At 42.5% G+C, this 16,161-nt stretch overlaps 1 long non-coding RNA gene across 1 annotated transcript in view, besides 1 other annotated feature; it reads right to left on the reverse strand.

Moving 5' to 3' along the window:
- The window catches only part of LINC02052 (long intergenic non-protein coding RNA 2052), a 38,681-nt gene extending 26,447 nt beyond the window's left edge, over nucleotides 1-12,234 (reverse strand). Inside the window, exons 1-2 of the long non-coding RNA NR_033844.1 lie at nucleotides 11,679-12,234; nucleotides 10,685-10,863 (exon numbers count right to left, since the gene is read on the reverse strand). This is a non-coding gene — a long non-coding RNA (long intergenic non-protein coding RNA 2052). The remainder of the gene's footprint in view (nucleotides 1-10,684; nucleotides 10,864-11,678) is intronic.
- Nucleotides 13,913-14,207: an enhancer, noted in NCBI's record as "tiled region #13089; K562 Activating DNase matched - State 9:DNaseU". NCBI's record gives its function as "activates a minimal TATA promoter and a strong SV40 promoter by Sharpr-MPRA in K562 cells {active_cell/tissue: K562}" and the evidence as "EXISTENCE:reporter gene assay evidence [ECO:0000049][PMID:27701403]".

Consider the following 16,161-nt stretch of genomic DNA (forward strand, 5'->3'; position numbering starts at 1 on the left):
CAAAATAGACTGGCATAAAAATAGACACACAGACCAATGGAACAGAATAGAGAAACCTGATATAAATCCACACATTTAAAACCAAGTCATCTTTGACAAAGTCACCAAGAACATACAGTAGGGAAAGGACAGTCTTTTCAATAAATGGTACTGGGAAAACTGGATAATTATATGCAGAAACATGACTATAAACTCCTGTCCCTCACGTGAGCAAATCAAAATGAATTAAAGACTTAAATCTAAGACCTGAAACTATGAAACTACTAGAAGAAAACATAGGGGAAATGCTCCAGGACCTCGGTCAGGGCAAAGATTTCCTGTGTAAGACCTCAAAAGCGAAGGGAACTAAAACAAAAATAGACAACTGCGATTATATCAAGCTAATAAGCTTCTGCACAACAAAGGAAACAATCAACAAAGAAAAAGGAACACACAAAATGGGAGAAAATATTTGCAAACTATCCATCTGCAAGGGATTAGTAACCAGAATATATAAGGAGCTCAAACAACTCAATAGCAAAACACAAAGTATCTGATTAAAGAATGGGCAAAAGATCTGAACAAACATTTTCTTTTTGCAGGGGAGGTGGTGAGACAGAGTTGTGCTCTGTTCCCCAAAGTGGAGTGTAGTGGTGTGATTTCAGGTCATGCAACCTTTGCTTTGCAGTGAACAGACATTTTTCAAAAGAAGACATACAAGTAGCCAACAGCTATATGAAAAGAAATGCTCAATTCAACATCACTAATCATCAGAGAAATGCAAATAAAAATAACAACAAGATATCATCTCATTCCACTTGAAATGGCTTGTATCAAAAAGACAGGAAATTAACAGATGCCAGTGAGGATACTATGAGGAGATGCTCATAATTCCATGGAAAAGGGAAACCCTCATACATTGTTAGTAGGAATACAAATTCCTAGTACAACCACAATGGAGAACAGTATAAAGGCTCCTAAAAAAACTAAAAATAGAATTACTATATGACCCAGCCATCCCACTATCGGGTATATAACCAAAAGCAAGGGAATCGTCCAAGAGATATATGTGTACTCTCATGTTTATTGCAGCACTATTCACAATAGCCAGAATATATAATCAGTCAAAGTGCCCATCAGTGGATGAATGAACAAAGAAAATGTGGTATATATACACAGTGGAATATTATTCAGCCATAAAAAAATAAGATCCTGTCATTTGCAGCAACACAGATGGAACTATAAACCATTATGTTAGGTGAAATAAGCTAAGCACAGAAAGATAAATATTTCATGTTCTCATTCATATGTAGGAGCTGAAAACATGTATTTCATGAAGATAGAGAGTAGACTGGTAGTTATCAAAGGCTGGGAAGGGGAGGGGGAGGAGGAGGTGAAAGGCAAAAAAATTATATATATATTAAAAAATATATAAATGTACTTATTACCACTGAACTGTACATTTAAGATGGTAAATATAGTAAGTAATATATGTATATTTTCCCTCAATAAAAGTAAATTTTAGAAAGGGATATTGGAAAAGAAATCTTATCTTGTGCAATCAAAACTGGGTAAGAGTAAACAGATTTATAAAGTGTTTAAAAAATGGGCTTCAGTAAAAGTGCTAAGCCTTTTTTTTTTTAGCAATTTTGTTTCTACATATATTTACTTTTGAATTCTTTTACTATCACTTTGGTTAAGCTGGTAACTAAGTATTGTTTCACAGTGGCCTAGAGTTCTATTTAGTTAACTGTTCAAACCTCTTGATATTTTTGACAATTTGGCCTTTCCAAAATAAAATCCTAAATGAAATCTTGATCTTGAACTGACCTTGAGATTTCTCAGGGAGCCCCTGCAAAATCTCAAAAAATTTGTTCTTTCACTTTCTAAAAACAGCAAAGTTAAAAAACAATTAGGTTTATTTGGTATGTTGAATTGCATGAAAAGCATTGTTACATAAAGAGATGCTTAACCTTCCCTGTGTTATATTTGTATGGGTCAATGTTATTAATATAAATATTTCAGAAATTGTATGAAGTTTGTAGAAATCTGTCATTGTCCTTGCTGCTCATAACATGTACTGGTAAAGTGTTATCAATCATAATTCCATCATTTTAATATTTAAAATGTTGCATGCCACAGAGACAACCGAATTTCCTTGTCATTTGCGTATTTTTTATTATGAACTCTTAGCAGATCTTTAGCCATGGTCATTTTAAGGCTTTTGTCATTCACTGATAATTTTTGTTTTACTCTGATTCTTCTCTGAAAGCATTCGCAACCTGCTACAGGCAAGCATGCTTCATTTTCAGCAAAAAGGAATTGTCTCAGAGACTCATAGAAAGGACTGTCAAGTACTCTGGGCTACAGGATTCTGATAGCATTGTTCACATAACTTTGAGACCATAGCACTGGACTGAGTAAGAATTTCCATAACTCTAGTGGAGAAGCTTACGGGTTCATAAAACTGCTAATCTAAGTGCTATGGACTGATGTTTGTATCATATCCAAAGCTCGTATGTTGAAGTCCTAATCCCCAAGGTGGCTGTATTTGGAGATGGGGCCTCTAAGAAAGTAATTCAAGTTAAATGGGTCATAGGATGGGGCCCTGATCTAATAGGATTCGTGTTCTTATAAAAAAGAAACACTAGAGAATTCATGCTCGCTCTCCCTCTCTCTCTCTCTCTCTCTCCACATTTACACAAAGAAGAGGTCATGTGAGCACACAGTGAGAAAGTGGCCATCTGCAACCCAAGGGGAGAGCCCTCACCAGACACCAATCATGTTGGCACCTCGATCTTGGCTTTTCAGTCTCCAAACTGTGAGAAGTTTCGTTGCTTATACTGCCCAGCCTATGGCATTTTGTTATGGTAGCCTGAGCAGACTAATACAACTAAGATCAAGCAGAACAAGAATTAATTAGATGAAACGGAATGAACTGATGAAGAATAGTTATGGCTTTTGTTTGAAATATTGTTGCTGGATTTAAGGAACCCCTTTCTCTTTCCTCTGAAGCTATCTGTAACTCATTAATAGAGTATGCTTTTGTAAACAGAATGAAACATTTACCCTTTATCCTTGCCTAGACTTTCCAGAATTTGGAAAGTCATATTGAGTATTCTTATTTTCACGGTAATATAATTATTTGCAGAGATGCAGTCAGAGTCTGTTCTCCTTGAACAGTTCAGAGGTTCCTCAGAAAACTCAAAATAGAGCTACCATATGATCCAGCAATCCTACTACTGGGTATAAGCCCAAAAGAAAGGAAATCGGTCTATCAAAGAGATATCTGCACCCCCATGTTTGTTGCAGCACTATTCACAATAGCCAAAATTTAGAAGTAACCTAAGTATCCATCAACAGATGAATGGATAAAGAAACTGTGGTACATATACACAATGGAGTATTATTTATCCATTAAAAAGAATGAGACCCTGTCATTTGCAACAACATGGATGGAACTAGAGATCATTATTATAAGTGAAATATGCCAGGCACAGAAAGACAAACGTCACATGTTCTTACTTATTTGTGGGATCTAAAAATCAAAACAGGCTGGGCACAGTGGCTCACACCAGCACTTTGGGAGGCTGATGCGGGCAGATTAGTCGAGGTCAGGAGTTCAAGACCAGCCTGACCAACATGGTGAAACCCCATCTCTACTAAAATACAAAAATTAGCCAGGCGTGGTGGCAGGCACCTGTAATCTCAGCTACTTAGGAGTCTGAGGCAGGAGAATCACTTGAACGCAGGAGGCAGAGGTTGCGGTTAGCCAAGATCATGCCACTGCATTCCAGCCTGGGCAACAGAGGGAGACTCCCTCTCAAAAAATAAATAAATAAATACATAAAAATAAAAACAATTGAACACATGGAGATAGTAGAAGGATGGTTATCAGAGGCTGGGAAGGGTAGCAGGAGAATGATGGGGGGAGGTGGGGATGGTTAATGGGTGCAAAAAAAAAGAATGAATGAATGAGTAAGACCTGGTATTGAAGAGCACAACAGGGTGACTATAGGCAATAATAATTTGATTGTACATTTGAAAATAACTAAAAGAGCATACCCAGCACTTTGGGAGGCCGAGGCGGGCGGATCACGAGGTCAGGAGATCGAGACCATCCCGGCTAAAACGGTGAAACCCCGTCTCTACTAAAAATACAAAAAATTAGCCGGGCGTAGTGGCGGGCGCCTGTAGTCCCAGCTACTTGGGAGGCTGAGGCAGGAGAATGGCGTGAACCCGGGAGGCGGAGCTTGCAGTGAGCCGAGATCCCGCCACTGCACTCCAGCCTGGGCGACAGAGCGAGACTCCGTCTCAAAAAAAAAAAAAAAAAAAAAAGAGCATAATTGGATTGTCTGTAACACAAAGGATAAATGCTTGAGGGGATGGACACTCTATTTTATATGATGTGATTATTATGCATTTCATGCCTGTATCAAAACATCTCATGTACCCCCATATATATATATATGTATGTATATATATATACACACTATGGACCCATGAAATAAAAATAAAAAGAATATGTTCTTTTTATTAAAGATGTAATTGGAAACATTGGTTACATAGCCAAGGCTTTGACTATAATGTTATATTTGAAAATGATACATAGATTCAGATATGACTAGACAGTTTTAAGAAATCAAGGCTGACTATATGGAGCCTACAAAAACTCTCTTAGGAAAACCTGGCTTGGGCCAGGTGCAGTGGCTTGTGCCTGTAATCCCAGCACTTTGGGAGGCCAAAGCAGGCAGATAACCTGAGGTCCAGAGTTTGAGACCAGCCTGACCAACATGGTGAAACCCTGTCTCTACTAAAAATACAAAATTAGCTGGGCGTGGTGGTGCATGCCTGTAATTCCCAGCTACTTGGGAGGCTGAAGCAGGAGAATCGCTTGAACCCAGGAGGTGGAAGTTGCAGTGAACAGAGATCACACCCATTGCACTCCAGCCTGGGCAACAAAAGCGAAACTCTGTCTCAAAAAAAAAAAGAAAGAAAGAGAGAGAGAGAGAGAAAGAGGGAGAGAAGAAAGAAAGAAAGAAAGAAAGAAAGAAAGAAAGAAAGAAAGAAAGAAAGAAAGAAAGAAAGAAAGAAAGAAAGGAAAGAAGGAAAAGGAAGGAAAGAAGGAAAAGGAAGGAAGGGAAGGAAGGAAGGAAGGAAGGAAGGACAGACTACTTGTCTCAGTACCTGGCTTACAGTGTTTCCAGCCATACAATTGAGCAAGGAAGGCCACTTCCCAGCAGACCCAGGAAATTTTGGGGACCTCAAGAAGAGGAATTAACCCAAATCTATAGGTATTGCCAGTAAAATCTGGTGGTGAGTTCCTGGCTTGGCTGTCTGGTCTTGAGAAGCATTTTAAAAGTCTTATCTGAGATTCGTCATGGAGATGTCCAGCAAAGAAAACTTCAAAAGGTCTGTGTGATCAGTTACCATTCTCATTGCACTTATCTAAATAATCAGGCCAAATCTAATAAGATTTGACTTATTTCACAAGCAAGAATAATCTTAGTTTGGTTATCTTTAATCAGAAATGGGGCTGATCATAGAGAACGTTTTGTGTTGCAGTGAAAAACTATAGCACACCCTTGTGGGTTATCAGATTCTGGTCTTGTTTATTGCCTTGGAGGTTTTGTTATTCACCTGTAACTGGATTCTGCTGTCATGCATATTTGACATTCTTTCATCCACATCTTCTACCATCTACACTGAGAAATAACCATGACTGTGGCCCTCATGTCTATGCCATCACCAAAGACATTCACACTGCAAACCAGGAAACCTGTCAGCTTGCCACTGCCGTCCTCACTCCACCGTCTAAAGATGTCTCGAGTCTAACGTGTAGCAATCTTGGCTGCCCTCTGGACTCAGAAACTGGGTTTATTGTCTGCTCCAACCACTCATCTTTGTACTGCTTTTTATTTTCATAGAAATTTCCCTCATTAAATATTCTCTCCTATCTAATCTCTACACATGCTTCAGATAGTCCTTAATGAATAAAGGCAACTGAACAAGCAACAGACTTATATTGTTCAGAGGAAAGAAAGATGTTCTTTCCTTGCACAAGAGGAAGGATGGACAAAAACTCTCAAAACTCTCTCCTTATTCAGACCTCAGTGAAGTGCCTCTGAGCTCTCTTCTCAACTAGGCCTCAACCTTGGGCCTCAGTTTCTGCAAGAATCCTGGTAAAGTGGTTTAGCTATAATCCCCCACTCTTTTCTCTGGACCCAACACGTCAGGCTGGAGGGGCACTCTTTGCCACTGGCCTCTGGAGATGCCAAGGCAGCAGGTCATTGGAATGAGAGGTAGCCCAGCTCATTGAAGCCTGAGTTTCCCTTGAGATTCCATCCCCTGCAGGAGGAGCCAGAATAGGGTGGATAAAATCAGATTAACGCAGATCACAGGGCTGTGCCTGCTTTGTGGAATTAAATACTTTCTCCAGATCTGTCACTCCCATTTGCGGGGTTAGGAGGAAGAGCCGTGGGGAGCCCTGGGACTCCTCTTTTCCCAGACTTTGTACTAACTGGTTGTATGACTTACAGGCAGGCCCTTTAGGCACAGAGTGTTGGGAAATATGATCTCTTAGATTCCTCCAAATCATTCTCCCTGGGGCTTTGTCGCCCCCCTGCTGCCTTCCTCACCAGCCTCATCAAAGGTTTGTACCATTTGTTGTTCCTCAGACTCATTCCCTGTGGCTCTCTCACCTACTGCTCCAGCTGGGCCCTTGCATGATGTGAAACCACATTTTATAAGGTGCAAAGTTTCTATAGTCAACCAGTTGGCAGGAGGGAGGCAGTTATTACATTTGTTTCCTCCTTCTCCTGCACTTTGCTCAAAATGCCTCTTTTAATTTTTTTTCTTCCCAGTTTTTCAGATTTTACTTAAAATTTGTTTGATTGTGGCTAAGCATGATGGCTCACGCCTGTAATCCCAGCACTTTGGGAGGCCGAGGCAGGTGGATCACTTGAGGTCAGGAATTTGAGACTAGCCTGGCTAACACTGTGAAACCCCGTCTCTACTAAAAATACAAAAAAATTAGCCGGGCATGGTGGCGGGCACCTGTAGTCCCAACTACTCGGGAGGCTGAGGCAGGAGAATGGCGTGAACCTGGGAGGTGGAGCTTGCAGTGAGCTGAGATCGTGCCACTGCACTCCAGCCTGGGTGACAGAGTGAGACTCCGTCTCAAAACAAAAAACAAAAAGAAAAGAAAAAAGAAATAAGTCTGCAAGTTTCTGTAGGTGGCAAGGAGATTTCTAGAAGAAAGGAATCGAGACTCTACTTCCTTTCTTTTGGGAGGCTCAATGTTTTAGAACTCATATAATAGGTTTCAGTTTTAAAAAGCTGATTGACTACAGTTGTTCTTTCTCTGCCCTACCAAAACCTTGCCAAAATGATAGTAAAGAATAAAAATGGGCACAAGGACAAGAAGAACAGGAGAGCAACAGCAGACAAGACATTTAGATGAGTTTTTGGAGGACAAATAGCAAACGAAGAAGTGGTTGCTGACTCAGTGGACAGGAGCAAAGTATAACTTAAGGGTCTGTCATAAAAAATTTGGCATGAAGAGGAACCCAGAGAAATCATGAGAGGTTTGGGATTTGGAGGCTCTGCTGAGAAAAGGGATGAGGCGTTGGTCTGAAAACAAGAGTCACTGGTTGAAAGTCTGCATAGAGTGTGTTGGGATCCCAGGTCCCCTCCTCATCCCACATAGCCAGGAAGCTGATACTTGAGTTTGTCCCTGTGAAAATGATGGCTCAGGGTTTGAAAACCCTAAAGAAAAGCCAATCAGCTAACAGCTCTATGCACACACTGCAGAGCTTCCTACAAGACTTTTAGTGCCTCACTCTTAACATGAATAGATAGCCAAGGATATGACATATGAGGAAAGCTTCCAACATAGGAGAGACAAAATATCCAGAAAAGAAAAAGGAATGTGGGGGGAAACAGACAATATAGGGAACATTAGAAATGATATTGCGGCCGGGCACAGTGGCTCATGCCTGTAATCCCAGCACTTTGGGAGGACGAGGTGGGCAGATCACAGGGTCAGGAGTTCAAGACCAGCCTGGCCAATATGGTGAAACCCTGTCTCTACTAAAAATACAAAAAAATTAGCCGGGTGTGGTGGCATGCTACTCGGGAGGCTGAGGCAGGAGAATCACTTGAACCCAGAAGGCAGAGGTTGCAGTGAGGCGAGATCATGCCACTGCACTCCAGCCTGGGCAACAGAACAAGACTCTCTCAAGAAAAAAAAAATAAAAAGGAAAAAAGAAATGATATTGCATCATAAAACAAGAACATGATACTATGAGAAAGAACTTTAAACCAGAAACAGTCTCTGGGGAAAAAATACATGAAAGTGATGTGGTAAAGCTTAGAGAAAATTCAGTAGATTGGAATAAGTTAGGGATGATGGAACATTTGGGGGGAAATAACACTGCAGAAAAGCACGCAAATGTGAAACATAAATTACAAGCCCTGGAAAAACTAAGGGCCATATAAGAATTAAAGCATAATATAGCCCACTTCTTGATTCAACCATGAAAAATATTTGTATAGCCAGAATGAAATATGGACTGTCAATTTAACCAAACATTGTGAAATAACTATATTTGGAAGATGCAAGAGACAAAATGAGAAGGAGCATTAGTATATGAAAACTAAGTCCTTATCTACCATGGTGGGAGGTTAGTAGAAAATGGCTAAAAATGATAGGTTAAACATTAGAAAGAAAAATAGAAGCAAATACTAGAAGAGCTAGCTAAAAGTTTTGTGGATAGTTGCCCCAGGCAACAGAACTGGAGAATGGGATGGTGGAAGGCGTGGGTAAAGGCTTTGGGGTTTTCAATATGGGCCCTGTAGCGCCATTTGACTTTCAAGTTATGAACATCTGCTACTTGGATGAAAAATTAATTATTGACAAAAAGAACACTGCTAAGGATTAAGACAGGTTGCTTGAAATCAATGAGTAGCAATAAAAGATTCCATAGGCTTCCTACGGCATACAGTAAGAACTCAAAAAGTGTGAACAGCTATTATTGTCATTTAACAATTAGTGGAGAAGCCAGCAGACTTTGCAAGATCATTGCCCGTCCATGACTGGCCTTTGTCTATAAATGGCAGGATTTCTCATGTGTCAGCTGCAGTATTTAGATTTGGTTGGAGAGCTGGGCAGTGTGGCTCAGCTGAAGTCAAGAGAAACCCCGAACTTGGGGAAAATAACTTTGCGGTGAAGAACATTAGCCAAGTGATCAAAGTTAGTGACCCCCGTGATATCATGTGGCTATCTTCTGAAAGTTTAAGATTATTCTAAATTAAAAAGTAAAAAAAGTGATAGAGAAAAAAAGGCAAAAGCTTTGAACAGACAATTTACAGAAATACAAAGTGGCCAATAAATATATAAAAATATGCCCAGCACCCCCAATAATTAGAGGAATGCAGCCCTTAAAAATTATGAAGTATTGGCCAGGTGCGGTGGCTCATGCCTGTAATCCCAGCACTTTGGGAGGCCAAGGCAGGCGGATCACCTGAGGTCAGGAGTTCAAGACCAGCCTGACCAACAGAGTGAAGCCCTGTCTCTACTAAAAATACAAAAATTAGCTGGGCATGGTGGCACCTGCCTGTAATCCCAGCTACTTGGGAGGCTGAGGCAGGAGAATTGCTTGAACCCGGGAGGCGGAGGTTGCAGTGAGCCGAGATCACGCCATTGCACTCCAGCCTGGGCAACAAGAGTGAAACTCCATCTTAAAAAAAGAAAAAGAAAAAGAAAAAAATTATGAGGTATCACTTTAGCCCCACCTGAATAGCAAAAAGTTGAAGAGAATGAAAACAGCTACTAGTTAATGGGAATATTGGGGTGAAGTTTCCCCCCAGATACTGTCTTTCTTCATAAGTAGAAATGTGATAGTGCCTCTTTTGGAGATCAACTTTGCTCTACCTTTTAAAATGAAAAAATCTACGTACTCTTCCCTTCATGAGTCCCTCTCCTTGGAATCTATCTGATAGAAGCAAGAGTCCATGGGCGTTTAATGACCATAGATTCAATATTATTCATGGCACCCGTGTTCCAAGTAGCCACCCAAACCCCCAACTAAAATCCAAACAAAAGGAAAACAAGTACACAAACAAAAACCAGAAAACGACCGGGAACTAAGCTAATAAAAGGGTTAGATCTGTTTCAGAAGACTTGAAGAGATTTCTAGAATATGCTTCTTATTTCTTCCCTGCCTCCCTGGTTTCTAGACAAGGTGGCTTACACCAGGTGGTTTTCAGGGGTTACCTGGAATGGGAAGGAGAGTTGGTGCAGATAAAGAGACATGCAGAAGGGAAGCAGGAAGGTAAGACAGCAAAAGACTGATTTGGGAGATATAAAAATATCTCCCAAAATAAAAATATCTCATTTATGTTAAATATGTGTATGTCTAAAACTTATGTATATGCAAAATATTGTCAACAAGTGGCTGATGGGATCATCTCAGGGTGGTGGGATTTTAAATGGTTTTTTATTTTAATTAATTAATTATTTCATAAAATTCAGCTCCTGTGGGAAGATGAACTTTTAAGTTATTTCCTACACTTTTATACACTGTTCAAATTGTTCCAAAGAGCAAGTGTTAATTATATAAACTGAAACAGCAATAAAGCTGTTTACACAGTGAGGAGGAAAAAAAAAAACAACTTATCAAGGATCCCTTATCCATGCACCCACCTGGTGATTTCTTTAAAACAAAATTGTAACCAGCCATGTCCTGGAGCAGACACGGTCCTTTATTTTACTATGTGATAAAGGAGGTAGTGCTTCTTTTGTAAATTCGAGCTCTTGCTCTGAGGAGGGATCCTTGACATTCTGAGAACTGTTAAATACGTATACATGCCTCGTTTCTAAACCTGAAATCATTTAACAGATTTGGTTATTGTCTGCTCCATTAATTGTGCTATTCTCCCATTGCAGACCAGTAAGCCAGGGCTGAGGGGATCTAAAGCTCCTCCCAGCATCACACAACTGAGAGCTCTCCCAGACACATCCCCTGGGAGCTAGTAGATAGACTGGAATAAAAATTTTGAGCCTTCACAGTCTCCCAAGCCAATCTTTTCATCCTACTATAGTGTAAGCTTCCATGCAAAGCCACCCTCCCCTCCACTGTTCTCTGGAGCAGAGCAGGTCTACAGGGTCAGGCTGCCTGGCTAGGCCCCTCTGTGAATGCCCCTTGATTAGAGAACCACTATTATTCTCCTCCTCATAGTCCATGGAAAATAAATACAGGAAAGTCAGCAAACTTTCAAGAATGATGATGCTGGCTGTTTTCAGGTCCCAGTCATCCCTGCAGCCTGGCCGTGCCTTCTGTAAGCCTGTTTCTTCATAAGCTCTCTGCCAGCAAAACTCCTGCAATAGAAAACCATCTGGAGAAGAGCCAGGCAAAGGCCTTGATATCGGTGTTCTGGGCGCTGGGATTGATCATGCAGAGACCAGTGCAGCACCTAAACAGGGACCATTTCCTCCAGCCTGCCCACAGCTGCTGCCCTCGGGGCTTGCTCTGACACCCAATTTTTAAAAGCAGGCTCTTAGAATAATAAAACCAGAGAATCTTTGAATACAGAACCATTGACTGTTAGAATCATAAACTATTGAGAGAAGAACCATGAAATTCTAGAATCTTGGCGTTGGAAGTTACCTCCCAGGTAAATGGGTTCTGTCTCCCCACCTAAGCAACAGGTATTTCTTCTGAGGAAACTGGGTGCAGCAATGATGTGGCCACAACACCTTGTAGATGTGGGAAGATGTCCACGGTGGCCACAGTAAGAAGCCTTTTTGTGGTCTCTACCTTCTGAAATAGTACATGACGCAAGAAAATGTCCATGCTTGTCACGACAAAAACTACTATTCCCTGGAAGTCTGTGGTACTTTTGAACTCTCTTAAAACTTTACCCTCCTTGAAGAAGGTTTCAGGAGAAAGAGGAGGCCCTGGAAACTCTTGATAATGCCCTCAGCACTGCTTCCAAGGAGCGCCAGTCATATAGACCATCCCTGAGAGAAACAAGAGAAAACGGGAAATTCTGACTTCTCTCTACTTCAGAACTATGAGCTATTTTAGTTGGCATTTTTGCCCCCATCCAACTTTTTTTGGCTTCGCTATCTAAAACAAATAAATAAAACAGCTGATGCTGTGAACTGTAAAGAATCTGAGCTAATTTGGTCCTCCCCTTTCTCCCATCCATTGCAGACTTCGGCCATAGCGCGTGAGCATTAGAAAACAACTTGTCGCCCACTCAACTCTCTTTCTCATTCCTAAAGGAAAATATTTATATTACGCCACAGAACGGGTTTCCATGACAGTGACGACTGTAACACTGTTGCCTTAGCAACCACTTGAGTCCATCTTGAATGATCTGAATCCCCTTCACAGACAAATAAGGAAAATCTGTCAAAAGTGCCATTCCGCTGGTGGGAAGTCCTGGAAGACGGTTTTCTCGCGCCCTCGTTCTCCCTCCAGGTCCGTCCCCCCGGTCCCCCAGTACATCTCCCCTAACGCTCACTCGGGAACTTTCCATATTTGCTACTCTTTCAAGAGCTTGCCCTCGCCCTTCTCCTAGTGATTAGACCCTAATCCACCATGGAGACGCTGCCCAGAGCTCTGCAAAGGGTTAAGGACTGGCAGGCAGAGCCGTGCCAAAGACAACAAGAGACAGAATAAATACACAGATCATCCTTTTTATAGGGCCTTGCTCTTGCCCCTGGAGACTGGGTGCACGTTTTTCTCTATCAGTCCAGAGCAACTCTGAGGGGAGAGTTTTATAGGAAAGACCAGTCCTCCTTGAGGTTCAGCTCTCAGTCACAACAAGTGGGCAGGTTGCCTCTCGGGCCTCAGTTTCCTCATCTGTACGATAAAGGGGTTGAGTGGAGGGTCCTTCTGGCTCTTACACTCTAGGAATTTGGGGGAATCAAGAATGTATCATCTGGCCGGGCGCGGTGGCTCACGCCTGTAATTCCAGCCCTTTGGGAGGCCGAGGTGGATGGATCACTTGAGATCAGGAATTCCAGACTAGCCTGGCCAACATGGTGAAACCCCGACTCTACTAAAAATACAAAAATTAGCAAGGCATGGTGGTGGATGCCTGTAATCCCAGCTATGTGGGCAGCTGAGGCAGGAGGATCGCTTGAACCCGGGAGGCAGAAGTTGAGAGGTTGCAGTGAGCTGAGATTGAGCCACTGCACTCCAGCCTGGGCAACAAAGCAAGATTCTGTCTCAAAAAAAAAAAAAAAAAAGAATGTATCATCTTCTTTCTCCCAAAGTCATCAGATTTCTTGTAGCATGCCTACAGAGAACTCAGATAGGACATCAGGACAAGTGACATCCTGGAGTGACATGGAGCACGCCAGCATTCACAGGGAGGTGCATCTTCCCCCATCACACGTGTGGGCACAGGTGAAAAGCACCGTCGGCATCAGCGGCAGTGGTGCTATCAGCACCGTAAGCACACACTGCAGACCAGGCCACTCCAACTCAACATCTTTTACTGGAGAAGGTGCTCCTGCAGGCTGATTAAATCAATAAATGAGCCCTCTCAGGGAAGCAGCGACTTTTCTCCTGGAGGAAATGTTTTCAATGCAATTCATATCCATCTCTGGAGTTTTCTTTGCCTCTTTCCTTATTGAAAAACAGCTTGAAAAGCTAGAAATGCTGACCTGTTTTCTTTCATTCATCTTCCTGCTTCTTACTGACAGGGAGAAAGCTGTTTTAAGAGAGAAAAAGAGCAGTTTAAATCGTTTTTATAATTTTACTAGCCGGCAAGAAAATCACTTTGCTGGATTTGTATGGAGACTAGGAGAAATGGAACAAAACATGGGTGGAGGGCCGGGGAGAAAAGAAAAAGAAGAAGCTGGTGCCACTTTAGGAGGAAGCTGAAATACCTCTTCACCAAAGCCCTTCTTGGAAAGTGTAATATCTACAAAAGTCACTTCAGACCTTTTCAGACTTCTGACCTAACTGAGAGGCAGGATGGAGTGCAGGAGTTTAGAGTGGGCTTTGGAGTCATACGAAAGTGGGAATGCACTTTGCTCCCACATCCCGTCTTGCCTGCTGGCCACAGCTGATTAGAGTAGGCAGGAGTAGATCCCTGACCTTAAGACAAACTAAACACGGCCTGACCTGATCTGACCCAAAAGGATTGGCTGGGTCAGCTGGTTTTCTTTCCTTAGGAGCCTGAATAGGAAGTAAAGAAAGAATTCAGCCTGGCGCGGTGGCTCATGCCTGTAATCCCAGCACTTTGGGAGGCTGAGTTGGGTGGATCACTTGAGCTCAGAGGTTCAAGACCAGCCTGGGCAACATGGTGAAACCCTGTCTCTACAAAAAATACAAAAAATTAGGTGAGCATGGTGGTGTGTGCCTGTAGTCCCAGCTACTTGGGAGGCTGAGGTGGGAGTATTCCTTGAGCCTGTGAGGTCGAAGCTGCAGTGAGCCAAGAACGTGCCACTGCACTCCAGCCTGGGTGACAATGTGAGACCCTGTCTAAACAAAACAAAACGAAAATAAAGCAAAGGAATTCCCCAGTCATTGGAGGACAGGTCAGGTCAATAGTGAAAGAACTGAAAAAGCACAACACTGGTAGTCATGGAATAAGATTCATCTCATCCAGACCATATCGTGTTCTGCATTTTTGTGAATCTGTTACCAATCTTTAAACTTTGGGATATTTTGCATAAAAACCCAGCTCTTTGGCTTCTCTTAAAAAGCCAGAAGCTCTGTAACACAGAGTCAGCATGTCCTGGCTGCAATCAGCTGGAGCTAGGGCCTGCAGCTGCCCGCTTTTCCTGGGCCATATGTTCTCCCATCCACCAGCCTCCACCCTGCCTTGTTACGCTCACACTCAGCTTACCTGCCTGCCCCATGTAGGCACTGGTGCATGCCTGTGTAGGTATTGGTGTGTGCAACCCCTAAATTAGAGGGAAGGCCCCTAGCAACTGCTTCCTGGAAACTACAATTGCCTTGAATACACAGCTGGAATTACTGAGGCAAACTTTAATATAGTTTCTGGTCCCAGATTTCCCAGAGGCTCCCCTTAATCTTATATGTGGAGCCTTACAATAAATCCTCTCTACCAAGCTAGCTTGAATGGGTCTTTATCCCTTGCAATAGAACAAGCCCCATGTATACAGGGGTAATTATTAAATTACCTCCCCTTCTTTTCCCAGCTCTCTCAGAGGCTGCAGTTTTTACAAGGGGCTGCTGTCTGAGAAGTCTAGGGGAGACTGGCTGATGATTGGGAGATGCATTCCTAAGGATTAGCTGGGCACCAGGAACCAAGGTCAGGCTCACTTTGCCAGGGGAGATACAGGAATGAGAGCTGACTCAGAGGCCAACAGCTTGTGAAAAATACCAAAGTAACTCCATAGGTACCTACCTGGGATTCTTTGGAGCCAGGTGTATGCAAGGCACAGACTGGTCCTCTGGACATAGTAAGCCAAGGGTGGTGTCCAGTAGGACTTTGGGGAAGCTTACCCACATGAGCAATCAGAACCAACCTCAGCCCTAGCCTTTGGAGGCCTCCAGCTGGACTGTAGGAGGAGCCCAAGGCAGCTGGAGTTCTCCAAAGGACTTGAGGGGCTCTGGACAGAGGTTATTCATCAACTAGTATGAAAGTATATAAATGTGAGCCACTGGTATGGTCCCACCTGTGACTGCGGGGCTTTAACTCAAAGAATAATCATTCTTTAAGTAGTCATGATGGATACCGGGCCTCGTGGTCACCAGGTTGCTGTGAGTGCAGCATTGGTACCTTAATGGGTTAATGCCAGCACAGCCCTGGAAATCTTCCTTTGTTATGTGCACAGGGATCTCCAGAAGCCTGGCTTTGCAAGGATTTGGGTTCAGAGATGTGTGTGAGCTCCAGGATATTGCAGTTTCTTATCACTGACTCTCAGGTACTCTGGACATGAGCCATACATCTCAGTAGACAGTGAGGTCTTTATCTTGTCTACTAGATTCAGACTGGGGTTATTGTGTGGATCAACACATAAGCAAGATGGAGGAATAGGGTTTTCCAGTGCCCATCTACCCACAGAAACATCAATTTGAACAACTCTCCATGCGTAAAAATGCCCTCAAAGGGTTAAGGAAACCAAGTGAGAGATTATAGCAAGTGGGTTGTAGCACAGAAGTAAGAGGTGTTTAAGAGGGTAGGGAGGAG

Source organism: Homo sapiens, chromosome 3 (assembly GCF_000001405.40).
Source record: "Homo sapiens chromosome 3, GRCh38.p14 Primary Assembly".
Classification (NCBI taxonomy): Eukaryota; Metazoa; Chordata; class Mammalia; order Primates; family Hominidae; genus Homo; species Homo sapiens.